Source organism: Homo sapiens, chromosome 10, assembly GCF_000001405.40.
Source record: "Homo sapiens chromosome 10, GRCh38.p14 Primary Assembly".
NCBI classification, from domain to species: domain Eukaryota; kingdom Metazoa; phylum Chordata; class Mammalia; order Primates; family Hominidae; genus Homo; species Homo sapiens.
In genome coordinates, this window is record NC_000010.11 from 127,934,579 (window position 1) to 127,960,540 (window position 25,962).

The 25,962-nt window shown below is 45.6% G+C and overlaps 1 protein-coding gene across 12 annotated transcripts in view, besides 1 other annotated feature; it reads left to right on the forward strand.

Annotated features, from left to right (window-relative positions):
- PTPRE (protein tyrosine phosphatase receptor type E) overlaps nt 1-25,962 on the forward strand; it is a 178,753-nt gene that overhangs the window by 27,476 nt on the left and 125,315 nt on the right. The gene's annotated exons all lie outside the window — the stretch shown is intronic.
- Nucleotides 495-1,234: an enhancer, noted in NCBI's record as "H3K4me1 hESC enhancer chr10:129733337-129734076 (GRCh37/hg19 assembly coordinates)". NCBI's record gives its function as "activates a minimal SCP1, AML or CMV promoter by ChIP-STARR-seq in naive H9 embryonic stem cells {active_cell/tissue: H9 hESC(naive)}" and the evidence as "EXISTENCE:reporter gene assay evidence [ECO:0000049][PMID:30033119]".

Consider the following 25,962-nt stretch of genomic DNA (forward strand, 5'->3'; position numbering starts at 1 on the left):
GTGGACACTGGACCGGAAGTTAGAATCCAGTCTCCCAGCCCTCAACCCCATGCTCCTTTCCATGGCGAAGGAGGAGAAGCTCGCCGCCACCCCACTGGCCTGCTCTGCTGAGGTTGTGGAGCACCGGGAAGCAGGGGCCGAGCCTTCCCCGCTCTGTGCCTGGGGGCTCTGGGCACTGTCTACACCTGGGAGGTGGTCAGCATATGTGCGTGGGAACTTGCTGGAAGGAAGGAATGACCCTTCTAGCCATGGAACGGTGGTCATCCGTGAGCCACGGCCTCAGGAGGTGGGTTCCCTTAAGGCTCCGGCTCTGGGGGCAGCGCCCCCTGGGAGCGTCCATTTTTAAGCCTGTGAAGAAAGGGCTGCTGACGTTTGGGGCCCCCGCTATGAGCATAGCCTCCACTCCTCCCCAATCCCTGTCCGTGCCTCTACATACCTCTGTGGCATTTGCAAACCCTTTTCTTAGCAGGTGCTCCCATCTGTGTTTGCCCTTCTCTCCTCCCGTTTCCATGGAGAGGCTGGCACCAGGACGCGTGACTGACAGTGCTGTCTCCCCCAGCAGTCCCCTCTGAGTCTGTCGGGTGTGGGCTCCGGGCTCCACCCTGCTTCTTCCTTAGCCCGCTCTCTGCCCCTCCCACTGCCCAGGCTGCCGGGGCTTCCAGCTCCCGTGGTGCAAACGTGGCCTTTGCTGGCGGCAGGATGCGGTTGCGTCAGGAGTAAGCAGAGCTTTTGTGACCAAAATCAACCCCGGGGCATCTCAGGCTCTAGCGCTGGTGGGCGTGTGAGATCATTTCAGCCCAACCCACATCCCAGGCTTGAATCCCATTACCAGGGGCAACCGATCCTTCTTGTCCTTTCCCAGATTGGTGATGGATGTCCACTGTGTCTCCATGCAGCTGGCCACTCTGTGGACAGCTGTTTGTGACTCAGCTCCTCCCAGCCTGAGGGCATCTGGGCCCTGCAACTCCATCCTTTGCTCCCCTTTCTTCCCGCGGGGACCCTTTCATCTCCCTGGCAGGACCCTGTCTCCACCCGAGGGCACGTTCTCTGACCTCTTCTGCGGAGTACCCTGGCTTGATGACGCTTCCTGTTCCTTCCCAGGGTTGTGCTGGGGGCATCAGTCTTTGAACAGTCCCTCCCTGAGGGCTGCCGTGTCCCCTCAGTGCCCAGGCACATCAAGCACTGCTACAAACCCAGACATTCACAGGGACCCCTCCACCTGAAGTCCACCATAAGGTAGAAGCTTCCGGAAGGGGTGATGCAAAGGGGTCAAACATTTAGACTACGCCTCAGAGCTGCATGATTCCTTCCTCTAACTGTGAAGCAAATACAGCGATTTCTCTGGGTCTGCCATCGAGGCCTTCTTCCCTCTGCTCTCACCTCAGGTGCCTTCCTAATGTGCAGGTGACGATTGCCTCTGAGCTCAGGCATGCAGCTTCTGGGATGCACTCTCCTTTCACGGCAAAGCATTCTGCATAGGAAAAACCGTCTCTGCGTCTCCAAGCTGTGGCCTAGCCCTTCATTCATCAAATGGGATACAACTTTCATTTCTTATTAAAATCTGGAAGTCACTCTCCATTTGTAAGATATCCCAGGGGTTGATGTCATCTTGTAAAGGGGGACAGTGCCATTTTCTATCTTACACTTTAAAAAGACAAAACCACTAGCTACAAACATCATTCACCACAGCATGGGAGAGGCAACCCCACAGCAAAGGTTATGTCATGTTTCATAAATGGGTATGGATTTGGGGGCTGGTTTTTTTAATAAAAACATATTTTGGTACTTTGGAACTTGACATAATTTGAGCTGTTTATGTTGTAGATGTTATGAATAGATGTTATGGTATTAATTAATAGTGTGTATTTTCTATGTCTGGGCTTGCCTGGACCGCTGGTCCTTGCCTTTCTTTCTGACACAGAATTTCCAGGGCCTCAACCTGCTTCTGTCTGGAAGTGACAGCCCACTCCACAGGGGTCTTCAGATAGGGGTAGAAGGTGGTGCCCTGGGCTCTCCTGGCTCTAGAGAATCTGGCTCTAGAATCACGAAGCCTTCCAGCATCCCCAGCTTCCCCCTTGCAGTAATCCCATAAGGGAAGCGTTGTCCCATTTTACAGAGAGTCCGTGGGGCTGAGAGGTGTCATGAATTATTCTAATGGTAGTAACTCTATTGGAGAGGCTGAAACCCGGGGCTCGTGGATGTTGTGACCCACCCCCCACCAGAACCTCCCATCCTGACTCACTGAATATTTAGTACCATCGTCCCCTGGAGGATGGTCTAGTTGGCAAGTAGCTGAGGATTTTTAATTCTAATTTAGTTTAAACATGGCTGTTTGTTGCTGTTGCTCTCTAAAGGGCCTTATTAAAGACTCTTGCTGCAGTGAAGGTGGCCTGTCTAGGAATCGATATGGATGTTGAGATCTGAGACTCTACAACACCCCCAATCTCAGTCCTTCTCGCTCCATAGGCAGTTCCATTCCCTGCAGATCTAACTCTGAGATTCTCACTCCTGAAAATGCCTGGACAATAAATAAATCCAAGGTGAAGGTGTTGATGCCAGTGACCTAGCTGCATCATTTTATTCATGGCATCAAGCCTTCAAGAATGTGGCTTAACTTGTATTTATTCACATGATAATGGCTTTTTATAAATCTGCATCTCTTCCTCCCCTAGGAAGAAAAAAAGGGCATCTCTTCATGAGTCACTTGATTAAAATTCCTCTCCAGTACTCTGTACCATCCACTCATACTGGAATTGTTGAAAATCAGGTGATTTGCAACTCCACACTTGCCCAAATTAAACCATGAGTGGAATTGACAATATGAATCCTGAATTTTCTGAGCTGGAAGGAGGTTCTAGTGATTACCCACACCAGGGATGGCATTTTACACATGAAGAAACAGAGGCCCCAGGGTTGTTTCTGATCCAGGTAGGATCAATATCTCGGTAGAGAAAAGGGGGAATTTTTTTGCTTATACTTTTTAAAATAAGCTACTTGTGGCTGGGCGTGGTGGCTCATGCCTGTAATCCCAGCACTTTGGGAGGTCAAGGCAGGCAGATCACTTGAGGTCAGGAGTTTGAGACCAGCCTGGCCAACATGGTGAAACCCCATCTCTACTAAAAATACAAAAATTAGATGGGCGTGGTGGCACATGCCTGTAATTACAGCTACTTGGGAGGCTGAGGTGGAAGGATCGCTTGAACCCAGGAGGCTGAGGTTGCAGTGAGCTGAGATCACACCACTGCCCTCAAGCCTGGGAGGCAAAGCGAGACTCTGTCTTAAAAAAATAAAAGTAAAATAAGCTACTCGTAAGGGGTGTGTGTGTGTGTGTGTACATGCATGTGTGTAATCTCTGTGGCGTGTGACCTGGATATATTCATAAAGGTGTAAGAATAATTCAAGTAGGTAACGCTCTCTCACATTTTTTAAAAAAAGAAAGAAGGAAAATATTTATTCCTTATATTTCAGGATGGCAGTCAATTAGGGTGTGATGTGACTTAAAGGTCACAGGAGACCTTGCCTCTTGCCAAGTGCTGCCACGACTGTGTGGAAAATCTCTTGTGTACTGGGGACCCAGTTTCTTTCCTGTGAAGGGAGTTGACAGAAATAAAAAAGATCACTGAATGAGATAATCGTTGTAAAGGAGCCAGCATAGCAGCCCCTTAATTAGGGGGAGTGTGCTGTGTCACTGAAACACTCTTTGTTTCCAATCAGGGAGCTCTCACTGATCAGTCAGGACTCTAATTGTTGGATAGAGTCAACAATTAGAAAAAAAGTTATAGTCTCCTAGGAGACATAGACAAGTGAGCTGACAGGGTGGGCTCAGCTCACCCTGTCCCAGCACCTTGGGAGGAGTGTCAAGGCAAACGACAGGCAGCTGGGTGCAGTGGTGTGAGCCTGTGATTCCTGCTACTTAGGAGGCTGAGGTGGGAGGATCGCTTGAGCCTGTGAGTACAAGGCTAGCTTGGGCAATTTTGGGGAGACAGAATAAACAAAAATTGACTTTTTTTAAAAAATAAGTTTGTATTTTCTTCAATTCAAAACATTTTTAGAATTGATATTACTTTTTATAGCTTTAAGGCATATTTCACATCGATATTACTTCTTAATATATATATTTTTTTGCTACAGATTTGGAGTGTGTAAATTGATAAAATTAGTATCAATGCTATTGTAACTACCTGGAATTGGTTAAATAGCAGCAGTGCCAGTCACCTTTCTTAGAGTAGAGATTGCCAGCAGGCAATATCTTCATCCTCAGGACCCAGGTCTCTCTTCTCTGACCCTGCCTGGACCCTGACAATCCCAGGGCGCTCTGCGTTGGAATCAGTTTGGATGTGTGTTACCAGATCTTCGCTGAAGCAGGGCACTCTGCATTGGAGTAAATTTGGATGTGTGTTACCAGATCTTCGCTGAAGAACGCAAGGAACCCAGCATGCAAAGCTGGCCACTACAGTTACATTTTTCCCTCCCTTTGAAAAAAATTTTATGAATGCCTTTCTGAACAAAGAATATGAACTAACCCTCATCATTCATTACATTTAAATAGCATAACATGCCATTGAAATCCTTTTCCAGACGTTTCAGCAAGTGAAATCATTTGTGGTTCATGTTATAGCTTTTTCAGTAACATGACTTGAGAAATTTTTCTTCTTACTAATAAAAGGGAATCATTCCCGCAGTTAAAGAATTCATCTTGGAATCCTCTGGTTTTTCATCATGCTTTACTTTTAAAACTTCCCGTTCTGCTGTAGCAAACTTCCCATTCTGCTGTGGCAAACACGAGTGCATATTAGTTTTCATCTTTGGAAGATGAATGAAGTATGTGACTTTTCAAACAGGGATCTCACATTTTAAGTCTAGTTATTCCAGAATAAAAACAAGCCAGAGGCCCAAACACAGGATTCTTCACTGTCGTTAGCAATTTGGGCACAAATCTGAAGGGCCAGTTTGGTGCAGGTGTGCTGGAGGATACATGGAGAAAAAAAAACATGTTCCAGTCTAGTTCTGATACACAGAAATTGAAAGAGCAACCCAAGGAGTTGGGTTGCTCTTCCACATGGTCAGGATGAGCCAAGGCTTCCGGGTAGGGCTTTTAGGGCAAGTGGGCCCCAGCTGAGCCCAGCAGGGGCAGGGCCAAGATGAGCAGAAGGAAGAGATAGGCTCTGGAAGGAGAGGCAGGAGGAGGCAGGTGTGGGCAGGTGCAGGCAGATGTGGGCAGGTGGAGGCAGGAGGAGACAGGAAGAAGCAGGTGAGGGCAGGTGCAGGCAGATGTGGGCAGGTGGAGGCAGGAGGAGACAGGAGGAAGCAGGTGAGGGCAGATGCAGGCAGATGTAGGCAGGTGGAGGCAGGAGGAGACAGGAGGAGGCAGGTGAGGGCAGGCGCAGGCAGATGTGGGCGGGTGGAGGCAGGAATAGACAGGAAGAGGCAGGTGCAGGCAGGTACAGACAGATGTGGGCAGATGGAGGCAGGTAGAGGCAGGAGGAGGCAAGATGAGGTAAGAGGAGCCAGGTGCGGGCAGGTGCAGGCAGATGTGAGCAGGTGGAGGCAGGAGACAGGAAGAGGCAAGAGGATGCCAGCTGCCTGAGGTGGCTGACAGCTTCACCCAGCTGAGGTTCTTGCCCATCCTATACACCCATCCCAGGACCTCTCTCTAAACACTCTGCTCTGACTTTGGCATTTCCTTGAATAAACACCCCAGAAGCTCCTCGTCTCCTTCATACAATAATCCAGTCTGCCTAGCCCAGTGAATGAGGGTTCTACCAGAGCCCAGCCAACCCCTAGGACAGCTCACATCCCACCATCCCTGAGGTACTGCAGGCTCACAGCCTTCCTGATGGACCACACCTGTGCACCGGGCTGGTCCCCTGCATGCACCTCTCATTCAAGTTGCCTTCCTCTGGGAAGCCCCCAGGGACTTCTTTTCTGTCCTGCACTGGCAGAGTCCCCCTGCTTCCCCTGCACCCAGCACATTCCTTCCTTCATCAGGTGTTGCTGCACCTCTGCTGCTGGGCAGGCTTGGTGCCAGGCACTGAACACACAGCTGAGTCCCAGATGGATGTCTTAGTGTCAGGAGACAGAGTAAAGTTCTAGGCCTATTGTCCATCGTTTCTTGAGACAGGGTCTTGCTCTGTTGCCCAAGCTAGCCTTGAACTCACAGGCTCAAGCTATCCTCCCACCTCAGCCTCCCGAGTAGTAGGGATTACAGGCTTACACCATTGCACCCAGCTGCCTGTTGTCTGCCTTGACATTCGTCCCAAGGTGCTGTGACCCAGTTCATTTGTCTGTGTCCCCTAGGAGACTATGACTTTCCTGCAGGCAGGGTTGTACCTTCTCATCTGCACCCTCAGTGCACTCAGGCAGGTAGTGTCCAGAAAATGCTTGAAGACAAGAAAGGTTCCCCCAGTGAGTCCATGCAGAGCAGAACGGCAAGCAGGGCAGGAGGCACCAAGCTGGCAGGGCAGGGTCTTGTCCCAGATGTACTGTGTCCTGGAGAATGATGTGCTAACCACATGCAGGCCGCCTGGGATGGAGAAGAGCAGTGGAGTGAGTCTTCCCTGCCTGGTGGGAGGTGGAGGCCCTGTGGCATCTGAGGTCAAGGTCACTGCCACTGGGCTGGCAGGGCTATTTCTCCAAATGTTAGAATCAAGAACTTCAGATTAAACTTCCCCTCTGCCTACTCCTTCCCCATGTCAGCATTGCTGAACAGCTGCCATTTAGCAATTGTGGGAGCAACACCTATTTATTGAGGGTCCATTCTGTTCTGGGCCCTGACACAGTAGCCCCAGGAGGTGTCACAAATGCAAGAGTCAGGCAGGTGTCATCATACATGAGCCAGGGGAGCCAGGTGGGCCTGAGCCGAGGGGAGCAACACCTATCCCGGCCACAGGGGTGCCCTGCTCAGGCTCAGCCCGCTGTGGGCTCACAGGAGCACGTCTTCTGATTTTTCAAGAGAAGCTGAGCACCTAGATTTTTGTGTGAAATGCTACAATTTAAAAATATAAACAATGAATGTAAACAAATCTTACACCAGGTAGGCTAAATAGGAGCCATTTCCTAGCCGCACTTGGTTTCTGGACAGCCAGTTTTCCACCTTGATTGATAAAAGAAATAACCATTCTTGGTTTTTTATTTACTTCCAGATCTCCATTCCCCTGCTCTTTCTACAATACAACTCCCACCCCCTCCATCTCACTAAAGCTCCCACTGATGCTCCTGAAGCCTTGATCTGTACATCCAGGCTTCCTTGGTTTGTGGCCACAAACCCCGAATCCCTCACTCTGATTTGCAGAGTAGGGGACAGGTGAGGGCTGGGCCCAGGGCAGAGCCACCAGTGAGAAGTTGGGCAACCCTTGATCTCATCAGTGTGGCCCAGACTGTGTCACTGGTAAGGGAAAAGGCAAAGAAAACAGGCAAAATATTGATGTTTATCTGCAGAGCTGAATGTCTTTTTATCTCATAGAAAAAAAAAAATAGGTCAGCCTCCCCTGAAATGCAGGGCAAGCCTCCTATAGTCCAGTCAAGAGCATTTCGAGTGTCACTTGCCATGGAAGGAAGCTGGAGACCACGATGTCAGAGAAATGAGAATGAGAGAAACAGAAGGAGAGCTGTGATATCCAGGTAGATGGTTTAAGCACAGGGAACCAAGGAATCTGTCTCCATCTGCTAGCAAACTGAGGCTCTAATCACTATCAGAAACGGAAGAATGTTGAGGAAAGGTGATCAGAGGTTTGGGTGCTGTTCATCAACCTGTCTAAAATGAAATTTTTAAAGTATGTTTTTCTTTAAATTGTACGACATCCTCGATTTATAAAGCAAATCAACTAACAAAGCTATGCCTTTGTGGGCACTCAACTTGATCCTTTGTCTTTAGGTTAAAAACCAAATCCTACAAAATGTCCATCAAGGGATGAATGAATAACCAAAATGTGGTCATACATGCAATGGAATGCTGTTCCGTCCTAAAAAGGAAGGAGCTCCTCTCATTTGCTGCAACACGGATGAACCTGGAAGACGTACTGAGTGGAATAAGCCAGTTACACACAGACAAATACTGTATGATTCCACTCACATGAGGTCCCTAGAGTAGTCAAATTTGTAGAGACAGAAAGTTGAATGGTGGGTGTCAGGGGCTGGAGAGAGAGGGATGGAGGGTTATGTTTAAGAGGGACAGAGTTTCAGTTTGGGAAGAGGAAGAAGTACTGGGGCGAGGTAGTGATGATGGTTGCACAGCAGTGTAAATGCACGTAATGCCCCTGAACTGTACACTCAAAAAGGGTTGAAATGTTCAATTTCATTTTACACGTACATTACCACAATTTAAAAAACTCATACAAGAGCAGGAATTTCAGGGCCGCATCTGTTATCATAAAACCATGGCACTGTTGAGACTCGGAAGCAATTTTAATCACGTGGGCCAGGAAACCGGTGACTTTCTTATCTCTTTGATCTCATGGAAACACCAACACTGTTTTCATGTGTTTTATTCTTCTCTTCCCAGCTCTGCCAGACATCCACACATCCTGTCTAATGAAAACAGTAAGACTGTTTAAACTCCAGAGGTCATGTAAGGAAATCATTCCTAAATGTGTAGTTCAGAGTAAAAAGTGCTCTTGTCGATAGCAACTTTTCATAAATTTGTTTTTCTGAGCGTCACAGTGGTATTTGTTCATCTCTAAAAATCTGGATTGTTTCAAGATGATTTTTAAAATTATTTATAAGGAACCCCCAAACTTGCCTGGCTGCCAGTCTCTCACACTCCCTGTAACCCTCGAGTTGAGGAGTAGGTTGCTAATCCTCTCCTAGAGTGTCTCTGCCACCAGCCTGGAAGGCACTGGGGCTCCATGAGTTCCTGCAGCTCTTTGTCTGTGCATGCGAGAACTTTCCCGTCGTCTTCTCCCATGCAGGAGGGAGACGGCTACCTGAGCCTCTGAGTCTAGGTTGAAGGAAGGTCGGTGAAGACCCCACCCACAGTGAGACAATGCGGTGGTCATGGGGAAGCTCCACCCACCAACACCCCAAGCCCCAGAAGTTCTGCTGCCTGGAATGCGCAGGAGGCTTCCAGGGCAGCTGAGGTGACTCTGATTTCATTTGCTCAGGCAGATGGTATTGGAGAGACTCAGCCACTTTATTCTGCAGTTGGTCAGCACTTCCCAAGGGGATTTTATTGGTCTTCTCCAAACTCTCTTAATTCCAGACCTTCCCAGCCTCACATTTGCTAGTCTCAGAACAGAGCTAAGGAGGCCTGTTCCTCACGAGCTGGACAGGCAGACTGGAATGACCGTGCCCACTGCTGGGGTGGCAGTATTGGGCATGGTGTATGAGTGTGTGTGGGTTGACCTGGCTGTGGACTCTGGGTGGAAGGAGGAGGAAGTAGTTCCTATGGGCATTGGGGCTGGGAAGTCTAATTAGAAGCAATAGTGTTGGCCCAACAAGTGGGGCATTTGTGCACGACAGAACCTAAGGGCACACAAAGTTGCTCCTGTCAGGGATGTGAGTCAGCCAATGGCCAAGCTTTGACTTTCGGCCAGGGTGGAGAGTGGCAGCAAATCATGGTTCTGCTGCTGGAAGGACTGAAGTCCAGGGAATATTACTGCTCAGAGGGCCTGATAAGAATCCAGGGACCAGAACTGGGGTATAAAGTAGGACTGAGAATTAAGAGGAAGACCACAGCTGTTGTGTCACATGCAGCATGATAGTCAGGGATGGATGAGCACCTCTGGGAGGTACTTGATAAATATTGATTGAATGGCTAAATGGTGGGTGGGTGGATGGATGGATGGACGATGGACAGATGGATGGATATGTGGATGGATGGATGGATGGATGGATGGATGCATGCATGGATAAGTGGATGGATGGATGGACAGATGGATGGATACATGGACAGACGGATGGATGGATGGATGGATGGATGGATGGATGGATGGATGGATGGGTGGATGGATGGATAAATGGATGGATGGATAAGTGGATGGATGGATGGGTGGATAGATGGATGGATAGGTTAGTGAGGTTAGAAAAGTAGGCAGAAACTGGATCATGAAGGCCCTATAAGGATTTTGCACATAATAGAAGGTCATTTGAGGAGATTGAGCAGGAGAGTGACAAATGGAACTGTGTATTTGAAAGATCTCTGTGGCTCCACGTGGATAGCAGGCTGGTGTAGGTACAAGACTGGAAGCAAGAGACTAGCTAGGGGGTTGTTGCAGTGAAAGAAGATAGTGGCATAAAATTAGGTAGGTGGCAATGAGATGGAGAGAGTGGGCAGATTCCACACATTTTTAGAAAGCCTGAAGATCAGGAATCAGTGACTGTTCTTTAGATGTGTGGGGAAAAAGAGGGCGGCATCTAGAGTGACCCCCAGTGGGCTGGACAGCTGGGGGGATGGTGGCACCTTCTATCAAAATAATGGGGGAAAGGAAGAGAAGGCTAGGGATGGATCGTTGTGACTGTCATGGGCCAGGAGTGCCTTGTGGCATGGATCTGTTTATAAGCCTATCTCCTTCATTGGACCTCAGGAAAGACCCTCCAGCTTCCTCACCCTTCCCCTGCACATCCAGAGCTTAGTGCAGTGCCCAGTACCTGGTTGGTTTTCGAAGTTATTGGACTAAAGAGTGAATATGGATCTGGGATTAGACAGTCTTTAAGATCATTCCCTGCTTAGTTGTGCTGCTGTAGCAACATTCATACATGGGGGTGAGAGGGGTGACTTGCGGAACTGGCAACTCAATGTGGAGAATCTTCCAGGGCAAGCAGGTAGAGGAGAAAAGGCCTCTGTGCCTGACCTCATATCTGAAGCCCAAGGCAACATGCCAGCCAGACTTTGGGCTCCTTGCCTGTGGACACCTGTGTCTTACTGTCTGCTCTGGGCTCTCCTTTGAGGAGGCCTCTGTCTCAGAACAAATGTCACAAACAATGAATGCCATGCTTCAAAGGAAGCTGATGTATGGAGCGTGTGTCACCTTCCTCTACAGGAATGGGGTTTGGCAGTGATCCAAAGACTCACTGTTATGACATGTTCTCAGGGAAGTAGGTCATATGTCCCCAGGGTATTCAGAGAGGCCTGTGAGTGTGAGATGTTTGGGCTGAGCAGGGCTTTCTTCCTCTCAAGGCTCCAAAGGGCGGGCCAACAGGTCATTTGGTTTTTCTCAGTGATATGTTTTCCTCCTCAAGATTCATCACCCCTCTCTCCTCCTCTGCTTGTTCTGAGGCAAATGGACACAGAAATACATTCTCTGTTTTATCCTTCATCGTTGCTAACCCCTGTGGGGTCGCTGACATCATGGAGTTCTCTTCTGGTCGTGCATATTGTAGCTCATGAAGAAAAGGTTGTAAATCACCATTTCAGGATGTTCTGCCTTTGACCTACTATGACTCCATGGAGTATCCCCTACAGAGCTCTCTGTGGGTCTCTGAGAGGCATTGGTGTGTGGCTGCATCTGGCACCTTGAGGTGAAGATGGGCCAGGAGTAGATCCAGGAGGAGCACAGCAGAGCATAGGAGGTGGCTGGAGAAGAAGGTCAGATGCTGTGGGGTCAGGAAGTGCCTGTCAGAGAAGCACCTGGGAGTTTGTTTCTGGCTGAGGCCAGCAAGGGGTGCAGGCTGCATGACTTCCTTCTTCTGAATCTTCCTTTCAGGGCCCAAGTACAAAGAGAAAACACACATCAAAATGCTTGGAGAATGAATGGCTATTCGTGTATATACCATTTCACTGATATTGATAACTTACTATGTGGCCGATCCTGCTCAAGGGCCTAGGAAGAAAAAGAACTCTCAGCCCTCATTTTGGGGCAAATAAGTAAGGATATATATACAAGGATGTTTATTGCGGCAAAAAATAAAACACTAAATTTATAATGGCAAGGCCTGTCAACAGGGAAAGATTGAAAAGAGATTGATTCTGCATCTGCATCATGGAGCAGTCTGCAGCCCCTGGGAGATATTCATCAGACCTCGCAGGCTGGCAGGGAGGGATTTCCACCCCGCATTGGTAAGAGAGAAGAGCAAGATGCGCTTGCACATTGCACCTGTGCACACTTGCTCATCTGTAATTGTGGGTACAGGGACAAAGGTGTGTGCAGACACACTGCAGGTCACAAAGACTGCATAGAGGCATAGAGTGAAAGTGGGTACAGAAAAGGGGAGGAGTAGGAAGAAAAGAAACAAGGAATCACAGGACACGGCAGCTCGTGTCTGTAATCCCAGCACTCTGAGAGGCTGAGGTGGGAGGATCACTTGAGCCCAGGAGTTCGAGACCAACCTGGGCAACATCGTGAGACCCTGGCTCTGCTAAAAACTAAAGCCAGATGTGATGGCTTGTGACTGTAGTCCTAGCTACTGGGGAGGCTGAGGCAGGAGGATCCCTCGAGCTCAGGAGGGCAAGGCCACCATGATTGTGCCACTACACTCCAGCTTAGATGACAGAATGAGACCCTGTCTCAAAAAAAAAAAAAAAAGCTATATGTTTTTAAATATCATTTATAGTGTGATTTGTGTAAAATTGCATAGACACAGAGAAGGGTTTACGCCATGGGACAGCCACGAAAATGTGATAGCACTTCAGTTTGACTTTAAAAAAAATACTCTTGTGCATTGTTCAATTGTTTTTATAATACAGTGATCACATTTATTTAGTGATTGGAAAAGAGGTTATATTTTAGTTTTGGAAAATTAAATAAGTGTAGATGTGAAAACAAAATAAATAAAAATTCTCAGAGGTATGTTTATCTAAAGTGAGCCAGATTCACGTGCATTCAAAACTCCTCTCCTAGGAAAACCTCCCCTGATTGTCTTCTTCAACTGTTAGGAAATAGTGTTGAGGTGTTGCCACACCCTGAGGCCCATTCTCCCCTATGCTGTGTGTTAGAAGTCTGTCTCTTGCTCTGAAGAATTCAGGTTTGTCCCATGGGTTTACATTTTATTTATCTCTTAATGCTTACATCCTCTGATGCCTCTGACATTTTACCTTGTCTTTGGACAAATTTTCACAATGTTTAAAAGGTATGCTTTAAAAAGATATGCTCTTACATAACTTTTCTGTGCCCGGCTATTCTCCCATATGTTAAAGGAGGCCTCCTTTCCCTGGACCACCATGACCACCCGAGGGACTTGCAGGTTGCCAGGGCATCACCTGTCATGTTCTTTTATGGAAAGAATCTGGACTGGAGCACATGAGCTCAAGAAAAATCTCGGACTTAAAATTCAGTCTACAAGAGAAACTGACATTGTCTTGGACCTGTGTAATGGGCAAAGTTCAGAGTCTCTGGGGTACAGGGAAGTAGGTCAGGGAGTGGGGAAACTGAGGCCTGTTGTGGGACTTCTCAGCCCACCCTAATTAGAGGGGTTGAGCCAACCCCCCAATAAATACCTTCTCATGTGACAGCATGGGACGTGAGATGGGAAAGGCCCATCAGCTAAATGCGAGCCACACCGTGAAGGATGCCCCATGCCATGCCCAAGGGTTTGGGTTTTCTCCTAGGAGGGGTGAAGAGCTGCTGAAGCTTTTGAGCCCTGTAGATGCTTAGATGTGTGTTGGGCCACTCCGTTGGCCCCCAGGAGAGCAGATGGGGAAGGGTGAGCCTAGGCTTAGAAGACCAGCACAGAGTCCTGAGCTTGGGGATGTGCACACACCATCACCCCCTCCTTTTTTTTTGTTTAAGAGAGACTTTATTTTAGGGCATTTTAAATTCACAGCAAAATTGAGTGGAAGGTAGAGAGATTTCCCATATGCCCCTTAACCCTACACACACACAGCCTCCCCACTCTCATTATCCTACACGTCATCATCACCCAGAGTCCATAGTCTGTGTTGGGGCTCACTCTTGGTGTTGTACATTCTATGCATTTGGACAGATATATGACATGTATCCACCATGGCCGTGTCATATAGAATGGTTTTACTGCCCTAAGCATCCTCTGTGATCCATCCATTTATTCTCCCTCCCTGTGAACCTGGCAACCACTGATTTTTTTACTGTCTCCATAGTTTTGCCTTTTCTAGAATGTCATGTGGTTGGAATCATATAATATGTAGCTTTTTCAGATTGGCTTCTTTCACTTAATAATACACATTTAAGGTTCTTCCCAGGCTTTTCATGAGTTGATAGTTCATTTCCTTTTAGCGCTGAATAGCATTTTATTGTCCGGAGGTACCACAGTTTATTTAGCCAGTCACCTACATTGTGATGGTTAATTTGAGGTGCCAACTTGACAGGATTAAGGAATACCTAAAAACTTGGTAGTGTAGTATTTTGGAGTATATCCTTCCAGAGGAATTTAGCATTTGAGCCTGAGTGAATTAGGTGGAGAAGGTTCACCCTCAGTGTGCATGGGCAACATCCGATCTGCTGGGGACCCAGACACGACAAAAACAGGAAAGGTGACTGTGTCGATCTGTCTGCTGGAACTGGGATACACCCTGCCTCTCCTGACCCTGGACAATTCCAGGCTTGTCAGCCTTTGGATTCCAGAACTTACACCAGTGCCCCACCCTCAATCCATCCCCTGGTTCTCAGGCCTTTGGCCACGGACTGGGAATTTCACCAACACCTTCGCTGGTTCTGCAGCCTTCAGACCTGGACTGAACCATGCTGCTAGTGTGCCAGGGTCTTCAGCTTGAAGATGGCCTGTTGTGGGACTTCTCAGCCAACCCTAATTAGAAGGGTTGAGCCAACCCTCAAGTAAATCCCTTCCCATGTGTCTATCTAGCTATGCATATTCTATTAGTTCTGTCTCTCTGGAGAACCCTGGCTAATACAGATTTTGGTACCAGGAGTGGTTCTAGAGGAAACAATTTTAATTTTTGGTTTTGGAGTTTCTGGAATTGGCTCTCTAACCTGTTTAGAACTAAAAATGCTGGAGACTCTACTTCTAATAGCGCAGAGAGCACTGATAGATCACGTGCTTACTGTTTGTAAATATGCAAAATAAATACATCCATACTCCTAATTCACCACTTATAAAAGGCAAATAATTTAGAGACTTTATACCTGATACGTTTGAACATTTGAGGAAAACCAAAGAATATGCCACGTTCATTGGTTGCTCCTAGCACGGCTAAACCAAGTGATGAGAGAAAGGGGTGAGCTCCGGTATTCACATAAATGACCTGAGTTTCTACATGTGCCCTGGGTCAGAATCTTCTCTCCCGTAGCCACAGGGCTGAAATTGCTGAAAATCAAACACAAGCCTTTGTCCCTCGATTGACTGAATTACCGCGAAAGCTGAGTCTCAGCTTTGCGGAAATTTGGGATGGGGAAACGTGGGGAGACCTTGATGAGGCTAGAGACATTGAGCTCAGAAATTCTGATGAGTCTTATTTGCTAAAAGTGACCTCCCCTATCCCAGAAATAAATCCCACCTCTGCCTGAGGGGATTAACTCTGATGGGACTCACAGCCTCCCCTGAGCCAGTTGCCAGGCAAGACAGTGCTGAATCTCTGGACCCGCCCCCACCAACCCTCTTTCCTTCTAGACCTACTGTAACTAGACTGAAGTCCCAGCAGCCCCTACAGGTGAGGTACACAGTGTGCCCCATGAGGAGGTGGTTACACTCTAAAAGAACTACTTTGGTTTTCTAATTTATACAAGCAGAAATTCGGGGAACATGTGTGGGAGTGGATATTAAGGGTATGGACTAACAGAGACATAAAGGGAGCCGACTGAATTTATTGATATGGACCCACTGAGCAGAGATTCTGCAGTTAATGCTGCAGCGCAGGGAATTTGGGGAGGGGCTCAGTTTGTTTTATTGGTTGGCTGAAATGTGGGTCAAAAGATGGTCCACCATGACTGAGTTGGAGATGCCTGATCTCCTTTGGTTTACTTTAAAGGAAGGGATCCAGAGGCTTAGGGAGGCTGGAATGCTAGAGTGGATTTGTCACTTAAAACCAACTCCCACACACTAGGAGGGTCCAGAAGACTGGTCTTTCACCAAAACCTTGAGAAACAGATTTCTGGGGGGAGTGCCAGCATCCCTGAAGAGCTCCGCGATTGCTCTTCTCTGTAGGCTGGACTTTACAGTGGGAACCTCAGTCACTCAATTAGGAAACTTAAATGCTATGGGGATAATTGGATCCTGGGGTGGCAGGGGCCAAGTGGCAGCACTCAACTGTCAAAGGCAAGGTGGATGTAGTTACTGTAAGGTACAGCAGAGCAAAGCAACAATCAAAATGGTCTGACTCGTGTAGATCTATGGCACTGGCTAGTTAATCACGTGTTTCTAAAAGTGAAATAGGGTCGGGCAAAGTGGCTCAAGCCTGTAGTCCCAGCACTTTGGGAGGCCGAGGCGGGCAGATCACTAGGTCAGGAGATAGAGACCATCCTGGCTAACACAGTGAAACCCCATCTCTACTAAAAATACAAAAAAATTAGCCGGGCATCGTGGCGGGCGCCTATAGTCCCAGCTTCTTGAGAGGCTGAGGCAGGAGAATGGCTTGCAGTGAGCCAAGATTGCGCCACTGCACTCCAGCCTGGGTGACAGAGGGAGACTCCATCTCAAAAAAATAAAAATAAATAAATAAATAAAGTGAAATAGATAGGAAGCCTACTAAATTCTTACCTGATCTGTATAAGCATAAAACTTTCAGGTCAACTGCACAAAAGTCCAACTCAAATCATAAAAACTGAGAGTCGTGGCTCCTCAATGAATTCCCAGACTTGAGCCAGTTTATAGACCCAGAACCCCTTGGGTGAAGGAGAGGCTGGGTTCCCTCCAGGAAGGACTCTGGTAGACTACAAAGAACGTATACTGTTCATCTTTCTCCCATCTTTCCCTAAAGGGATCTATGGCCTTTTACCATGGTAACTGTGTGCTGGGGAGAGGGAAATAAACAGACAATTTGGGAACTACTGGACACTGGCTCTGAACTGACATTGATTCCAGGAGACCTGAAATGTCACCATGGCCCCCCAGTTAGTGTGGGGCTTATGGATGTCAGGTGATCAATAGAGTTTTATCTCAGATCCAATTTACAGTGGACTCAGGGGGTCCCTGACCCCATCCAGCGGTCATTCCCCCAGTTCCAGATGCATAATTGGAGTACACATACTCAGCAGCTGGCAGAATCCTCACATTGGCTCCCTGACCTGTGGAGTGAAGGCAATTATGATGGAAAAGGGTAAATGGAAGCTATTAGTGCTATCTCTACCTACAAAAATAGTAAATCAAAAACATGACCTGGAGGGACTGCAGAGATTAGTGCCACCATCAAGGACTTGAAAGATGCAGGAATGGTGATTCCCACCTTCAACTCTCCTATTTGGCCTGTGCAGAAGACAGATAGCTCTTGGAGAATGACAGTGAATTATGATAAGCTTAACCAAGTGGTGACGCCAATTGCAGCAGCTGTACCAGTTGTGATTTCATTGCTTGAGGAAATTAACACATCTCCTGATACCTGGTGTGCAGCTATTGATCTGGCAAATGCCTTTTTCTCCATCCTTGTCCAGAAGGCCCACCTGAAGCAGTTTGCCTTCAGCTGACAAGGCTAGCAATATACCTTCACTCTCCCACCTCAGGGGTATATCAGTTCTCTAGCCTATGTCACAATTGTTTTCAGGAATCTTGATCACTTTTCCCTTCAATAAGATATCACACTGGTCCACTATATTGATGACTGAAGGAACTTATGTATACAGTGATCCATTTCCAAGACAAAGTGCCTTAAATCAGCTTAGGTCAGCAAAACTACAGAAGAAACAGGATGTAATATGCCCCTGCTTAGATAGCCAATGCCTACTTGTTGTGCCCACCCCGCCCCCCCTAGCCCTTAGTTGCCCTCACCCAAACCAAAAAAAGTTTAGTCTAAGATGAAAGTTTATTAGCCTGCAAAATAGCTCCCTTTTTCTATTCTTATCAGCCTGCCCAGCTACTTAGGTCATAAGTCAAATACTTAAAGAGTTAAGTATTTTACTTATAAGCTCAGGGGAGCTGACAAGGATTGCAGTGCATTGTGGGCTGCAACAAAATGCAGCAAGACAACCCTAATAAAAATCACCTACAGCCCCTACCCAACAATCAATAGGCGATGTCCAGGAAGATTGTAAACCCATAGTACTCAGCCTATAGGGAACCGGGGGAGGGACCTACACACTAGGGGATAAAGTGCTTGTTAAAACTGTGCTGGGTGTGCCTGCTTATCAGACACTCAATCTTGCAAGACTGTCATTAAAAGTCTCACTTTTGCTATTCCTTGGGTCTCTGAGTCCATTCTTTGGGTTTGGTTGGGTAAGTTTATTTCTCACAATGACAATATGCTGATTGGGCCTAGAGAGCATGAAGTAGCAACCACTCTGGACTTATAGGTTAGACATTCGTATATCAGAGAATGGGAAATAAATTGAGCAAAATTTAGGTGCCTCCTACCTCAGTGAAATTTCTAGGGGTCCAGTGGTATGGGGCATGTCAAGATATCCCTTCTGAAGTGAAGGATAAGTTGTTGTATCTGGCCCCTCCTACAATTAAAAAAGTGCCTAGTGAAACTATTTGGATTTTGTAAGCAACACATTTCTCCTTTGGGTGTGTTACTCCAGCCCATCTACCAAGTGACCTGAAAAGCTGCTAGTTTTGAGTGTGTCAGAACAGGAGAAGGCTCTGCAATAGATCCAGGCTGCTGGGCAAGCTGCTCTGCCCCTTGGGCCATATGACCCAGCAGACCCAGTGGTGCTTGCGGTGTCAGTGGCCGATAGGGATGCTGTTTGGAGCCTTCGGCAGGCCCCTATAGGTAAATCACGGTGAAGGCTCTTAGGATTTTTGAGAAAGGCCCGGCCACTACCTGCAGGTAACCACTATCCTTTTGAGAGACAACTCTTGGCCTGCTGCTATATCTTAGTAGAAATGAAACACTTGATTATGGGCCACCAAGTTACCATGCAATCTGAACTGCTCATCATGAACTGGGTGTGATCTGACCCACCAAACCATAAAGATGGGCATGCACAGCAGCACACTATGATAAAATGGAAGCGGTGTATATATGTGATTGGGCCAGAAAAGGTCCTGGAGGCATAAGTAAGTTACATGAAGAAGTGGCCCAAATACTTATGGTTCCTACTCCTGCTATGCTGCCTTCTCTCTCTTGCCTGCACCCCATGGTCATTTGCCAGAGGAAGAGAAGACCAGGACCTGCTTTATAGGTGGTTCTGCATGATATGTAGGCACCACCAGGAAGTGGACAGCTGCAGCACTATAGCCCCTTTCTGGGATGTCCCTGAATGACAGTGGTGAAGGGAAATCTTCTCAATGGGCAAAACACTGGGCAATGTACCTGGTTGTGCACTTTGCTTGGAAGGAGAAATGGCCAGATGTGCAATTATATACTGATTCATGGGCTATAGCCAGTGATTTGGCCAGAAGGTCAGGGACTTGGAAGGAACATGATTAGAAAATTGGTGACAAAGAAATTTGAGGAAGAGGTATGTGGATAGACTGCTCTGAGCTGGCAAAGGAAGTGATATTTGTGTTCCATATCAATGCCTACCAAAGGGTGACCTCAGCAGAGGAGGACTGAAATAATCAGGGGTAGAAAATGACCTGTTCTGTGAATATTTGTCAGCCTCTTTCCCCAGCCACCCCTGTCATGGACTCGTGATCTAAGTGGTCATGGTGGCAGGGATGGAGGCTGTTCATGGGCTCAACAACATGGACTTCTACTTACCAATGCCAACCTGGCTACAGCCACCACTGAGTGACCACTCTGCCTGCTGCAGAGATCAACATGGGGTCCCCAGTATGGCACCATTCTTTGGGGTGATCTGCCAGCCTCCTGGTGGCAGGTTGATTACAATGCAGCACCTTCATTGTGAAAGGGGCAGTGTTTTTTCCTTACTGGAATAGACACTCTGGATATGGATATGCTTCTTCCACAGCTACCATCTGTGGACTCATAGATTGCCTTATCAACCATCACGGCATTCTGCACAGCATTGCTTCTGACCAAGGAATTCACCCAAAGCCAAAGAAGTGCAGCAGTGGGCTCATGCTCGTGGAATTCACTAGTCTTACCATGTTCTTCATCACCTTGAAGCAGCCAGTTTGGTAGAACAGTGAAATGGCCTTTTGAAGTCACAGTTACAGCACCAGCTAGGTGACAATGCCTTGCAGGCTGAGGCAAGGTTCTTCAGAAGGTTGTAGGTGCTCTAAATCAGTGTCCAACATATGATGCTCTTTCTCCTATAGCCGGGATTCACAGGTCCAGGAATCAAGGGTCAGGAATGGAAATGGCACTACTCACCATTACTCCTAGTGACCCACTAGCAAAATTTTTGCTTCCCGTTCCCATGACTGTTAGCTCTGCTGGCCTAGAGGTCTTAGTTCCAGAGTGAGGAGTGCTTCCGCCAGGAGACACAACAATGATTCCACTCAAGCAGAAGATAAGGATGCCACTTGGCCCCTTGGGGTTCCTCATGCCTCTGAGTCAACAGGCTAAGCAGGGAGTTACGGTGTTGGCTGCGGTGACTGATCCAGACTACCAATGGGAAATTGGACTACTACTCCATAGTGGAGGCAAGGAAGATCTTCTGGAATACAGAAGATCCCCTAGGGTGCCTCTTAGTACTACCATACCCTGTGATTAAGGTCAATTGGAAGTTACAACAAACCAATCTAGGCAGGACAAGTAATAGCCCAGGCTCTTCAGGAATGAAGGTTTAGGTAACTCCAGATAAAGAACCATGACTATCATATGATGCAGAGAATAAATACATGTGTACATACATACATACATACATACATACATACATACATATATACATACACACATAAAATCATGACCAGTGAGGTGCTTATCGAAGGCAAAGAGAATACAGAATGGGTAGTAGAAGACGGCAGTTTATCAATACCAGCTATGCCCATGTAACCAGTTACAGAAACAGACTGTTATGAGTATTTCCTCCCTATTTTGTTAAGAATATGTCCATGTGTATAGATGCATATAGTAAGCAAAGATCTTTATTTTCATTCCTCTCTTATTCTTTTATCATGTAACAAGATTTTCTGAACTTATATTAGTATTTAAGTGTTGTTAATTTTGTATCATAGTATTTAAGTCATGAGATATAAGGAGAAGAGTAAACATCATGCAAGGACTTTTTCTGAAGAAGGAATTATATTCATCAGTTTTCACACTACTGTAAAAAACTACCTGAGACTGGGTAATTTATGAAGAAAAGAGGTTTAATTGACTAACAGTTCTGCAGGCTTAACAGGAAGCATGACTGGGAAGCCTCAGAAAACTTACAATCATGGAGGAAGATGAAGGGGAAGCAAGAACCTTCTTCACGTGGTGGCAGGAAAGAGAGAGAGAAGGGGAAAGTGTCACCTTTTAAACCATCAGATCTCGTGAGAACTCACTCACTATCATGAGAACAGCAAGGGGGAAATCCATCCCATGATCCAGTTACTTCCCACCAAGCCCCTCCTCCAATTTGACATGAGATTTGGGCAGTACACAAATCGAAACTATATCAGGGATTAATGTGTTTTTGGTTGTACGCAGGATAGCTGCATCCTGTCAGGTGAAACTATTACCTTATTATTATCTTATCTGGAAATTAAGTATGATTTCAGGAGTTGCATATATATAGGTGCCAAGTTGACAAGGGGTGGGCTTGTGATGGTTAATTTTAGGAGTCGACTATATTAAAGAATATCTAAAAACCTGGTAAAACATTATTTTGGGGTGTTGTCTGAGGGTATTTCCAGAGGAGATTAGCATTTGAGTCCAAGTGGACTAGATGAGAAGCCACACTGCCAGCATCTCAGGGACTCCACCTTGCAAACGGCTTCTCAAGGGACTCCTCAGCCACAACTGTGTGAACCAATCTCCCTAATAAATCCCCTCTCATATGTCTATATATTCATTGCATTGATTTTTGTTTCTCTGGAGAATCCTGACTAATACAGACATCTTGGTTGCTTCCAAGTTTGGGCAATTAAGAATAAAGCTGCTATATACATACATATGTGGGTTTTTGTGTGGACATAAGTTTTCACCTCATTTGGGCAAATGCCAAGGAGTGCAATTGCTGGATCATATGTTAAGTGTGTTTAGTTTTATAAGAAACCACTAAACTATCTTCCAAAGCAGCTGTACCATTTTGCATTTGAAGCAATAAATGAGAGTTCCTGTTGCTCCAAATCCTTACCAGCATTTGGTGTTGTCAGTGTTCCGGATTTTGGCTATTACAATAGGTGGGTAGTGGTGTCATATTGTTGCTTTAATTAGCAATTCCCTAAAGACAGATGATGATGAGCATCTTTATGTATGCTTATTTTCCATCCATATGTTTTCTTTGTTGATGTGTCTGTTCTGGTCTTTGCCTGTTTTTTTAATGGGATTGTTTATTTTCTTATTGTGAGTTTTAAGAGTTTTTTTTGTACATTATTGATAAAAATCCTTTATCAGATATGTTCTTTGCAAATGTTTTCTCTCCAGTCTGTGGCTTGTCTTCTCATTACCTTGACAGTGTCTTCTGCAGAGCAGGAAGTTTTTAATCATTATGAGGTTCAATGTATCAATTCTTTCTTTTATGGGTCATGTTTTTGGTATTGTATCTAAAAAGTCATCCCCTTATCCAAGGTCATCTAGATTTTTTTCTGTTATTTTCTAGAGTTTTATAATTTTGCATCTTACATTTAGGTCTATGATCTATTTTGAGTTAATTTTTTGTGAAGGGTATAAAGCCTGTGTGTAGATTCATTTTTTGCATATGGATTTACAGTTGTCCCAGCACCGTATGTTGAAAAGACCATCAATCTTTCTGCCTTTGTATTGCCTTCACTCCTTTGTTAAACATAGTTGACCATATTTATGTGGGTCTATTTCTCTTCCATTCTGTTGGATTTTTTCCTTCAGATTTGTTACATAGATAATCATGTAATCTGTGAACAAGAATATTTGCATTTTTACTTCTTAATCTGTATACCTTTTATTTTCTTGTCTCATTGCAACAGCCATGACTTCCTGTATGATATCAGAAAGGCTCTCCATTCTGTTCCAATGATGTTGATTATTTTACTGAAGCTTTATAGTTAAGTCTTGGGGTCAGGTAGTGTCAGTCCTCCAACTCTGTTCTTCTCCTTCAATATTGCGTTGGCTATTGTGAGTCTTTTGCCTCTCTGTATAAACTTTAGTATCAGTTTGTTGACATCCACAAAATAACTTGGTGGAGATTTTGACTGGGATTGCATTGAATCTGTAGATCAAGTGAAAGAACTGACATCCTGACAGTTTTAAATTTGTTTATCCGTGAACACGGAATGTCTCTCCATTTATTTAGTTGTTATTTGATTTCTTTCATCAGAGTTTTAATATAGATCTTGTACATATTTTGTTAGGTTTATGCCTAGGTATTTCATATTTAGGGATGCTAATATAAATAGGATTGTGTTTTTAATTTTAAATTTCACTTGTTCACTTCTGGCATACAGAAAAGTGACTAACTTTTTGTATTAACTTTATACCCTGAAACATTACTATAGTTACCTATTAGTTCCAGGAGGTTTTTTTGTTTTGTTTTTATTCTTCCAGGTTTGTTACATAGATAATCATGTAATCTGTGAACAAAAATATTTGCATTTTTTACTTCTTAACCTGTATATCTTTTATTTTATTTTCTTGTCTCTGCAATAACCATAACCTCCCATATGATATCAGAAAGGAGTGTCAAGAGAGGACATCCTTGCCTCGTTCCTGATCTTAGTGGGAAAATGTCTAGTTTCTTACCATTAACGTATGACATTAGCTGTAGGTTTTTCATAGCTGTCCTTTATCAACTTGAGGAAATTTCCTTCTATTCCTTGTTTGTTGAGAGTTTTCATCATGAGTCAGTTTTGAATTTTGTCACGTGCTTTTTTTTGCATCTGTTGATATAATCTTGTGATTTTCTTCTTTAGCCTGTTGATGTGATGGATTACATTAATTGATTTTCAAATTTGAATCAACCTTTTATACATGGGATAAATCCCACTTGGTTATGGTGAATACTTATTTTTATACATTTTGGATTTGATTTGCTAATATTTTGTTGAAGATTATGCAGCTAAATTCATGAGAGATATTGGTCAATAGTGTTGTTGTTTTTTTTCTTGGAATGCCTTTGGTTTTGGTATTGAGGGTAATATGGGCATCATACAATGAGTGTTCCCTATGCTTCTATCTTTTGGAAGAGATCATAGAAAATTGATTTAATTTATTTCTTAAATATTTGGTAGAATTCACCAGTGACTCATCTGTGCCTGGTCCTTTCTGTTTTAGAAGATTATTAATTATTTATTTATTTTCTTCAATAGATATAATTCTATTCAACTTGCCTTTTTTTTTTTTTTTTTTTCCTGAGACGGAGTTTCACTCTTGTTGCCCAGGCTGGAGTGCAATGGCACGATCTCAGCTCACTACAACCTCCTCCTCCTGGGTTCAAGCGATTCTCCCATCTCGGCCTCCCGAATAGCTGGGATTACAGGCATGCGCCACCACACCCCGCTAATTTCGTATTTTTAGTAGAGATGGTGTTTCTCCATGTTGGTCAGGCTGGTCTCGAACTCCCAACCTCAAGTGATCCGCCTGCCTTAGCCTCCCAAAGTGCTGGGATTATAGGCATGAGCCACCACGCCCGGCTGAAATTGCCTATTTTCTTTTTTTAAACAGAAATCCAGGTTAACAACAAGTTGGGACTTGAGGGGAGTGGAGAAAAACAGTGCAAGAGTTTCCTAAAAGCTTACCCAGTTCATGCATTCACTCATTCATTCATTTGTACATTCATTCATTTGGTAATTCACTCAATAGCCTCCTACTGAACCCATTTACCAGAAATAAGTCCTGCCTCAAGATGATAGCATATGCCTTTCTTATGCCTTCCTGGGCATTTTCTTGAATTACTTTTTTGTGGTTGTTTTTAATGTGTAAATATACATCCCCAATAACTCAGACTCATTAATTTATGTTTGTAATAATTGTTGAAATAAGTTTGACAGAAGGTGACCTTTCTGAATTTGCAAAGAAAGTGATTGCCAGGCAAATTTAAAGCAGAAGTCCATTGTGGGGAAGATGTTGTGTCCAAAGCCACACACTTTTCAACGAGCTTTAAGCACTTTCTCCATAGTGTTGAGGGCACAACTGTGGAGTCAGACCTTCCCCAGTATGATCCTGGGTCAGCTACTTCCCAGCAGGGTGACTTAGGATTGTCTCCTTGTCTCTTTAATTCTCCTTTCCCTGACTGTAAAGTGCAAATAATATGACCCACCTTGCAGGCTGCTTGTGAGGGTCCATGAGATATTATGAAGCTTCTAGCACAGTGCTTGGCAGGGCACTGATGGGAGCTCTTACCTTTATTATTAATTCATTCAAAGGGAGATTTACTGATACTCTCTTTAGTGCTGTAAGAGATGTGACGATATCAAAGCTAGTGCCTGTCCTCTTGGAGAATGTAACTCTTTGGGGAAGCTAGGACAGATGCAGATTATTACTATGTAAGATGGGAAGTAATAAAAGACCTGGGAAAACAAGTGAATGGCAGACGCAGGTCAGAAAGGAGACCAATCCCTCCAGCTTGGGCATGCTTGCTGGCATGCGGGTGCCCCAGGGACTCGAGATCCTGTTGCTGAATGATCAGATGGTGGCATCTGGGGTGGACACTGAAGGACGAGGCTGGCTGTGTGTGTGACAGCAGACCTTTCTCCCTGCTGCCTGTGCTGTGCTTTCATACTGCAGACACCCAGCAAGTGAGCGCTGAGTTAGATTCCAGAGAGAGAGTTCAAGAAAATGCATAGCAGCAGACAAACCCCTCTATCGTTAATAGCAAAGATTTCTTATTTGTTCATTTGCAAGATCCTTTGTCAAATTCTTCTGGCCTTGGGCCCTTTGATCACTTCTGTGTCCTGTGCACTTAAGTCTGGTGGATTCCTTCTTGCCCCTCAGCACTCAGCTCTGGCAGCCGTGCCTCCCCCGAGTCCGGTCTGACCGTT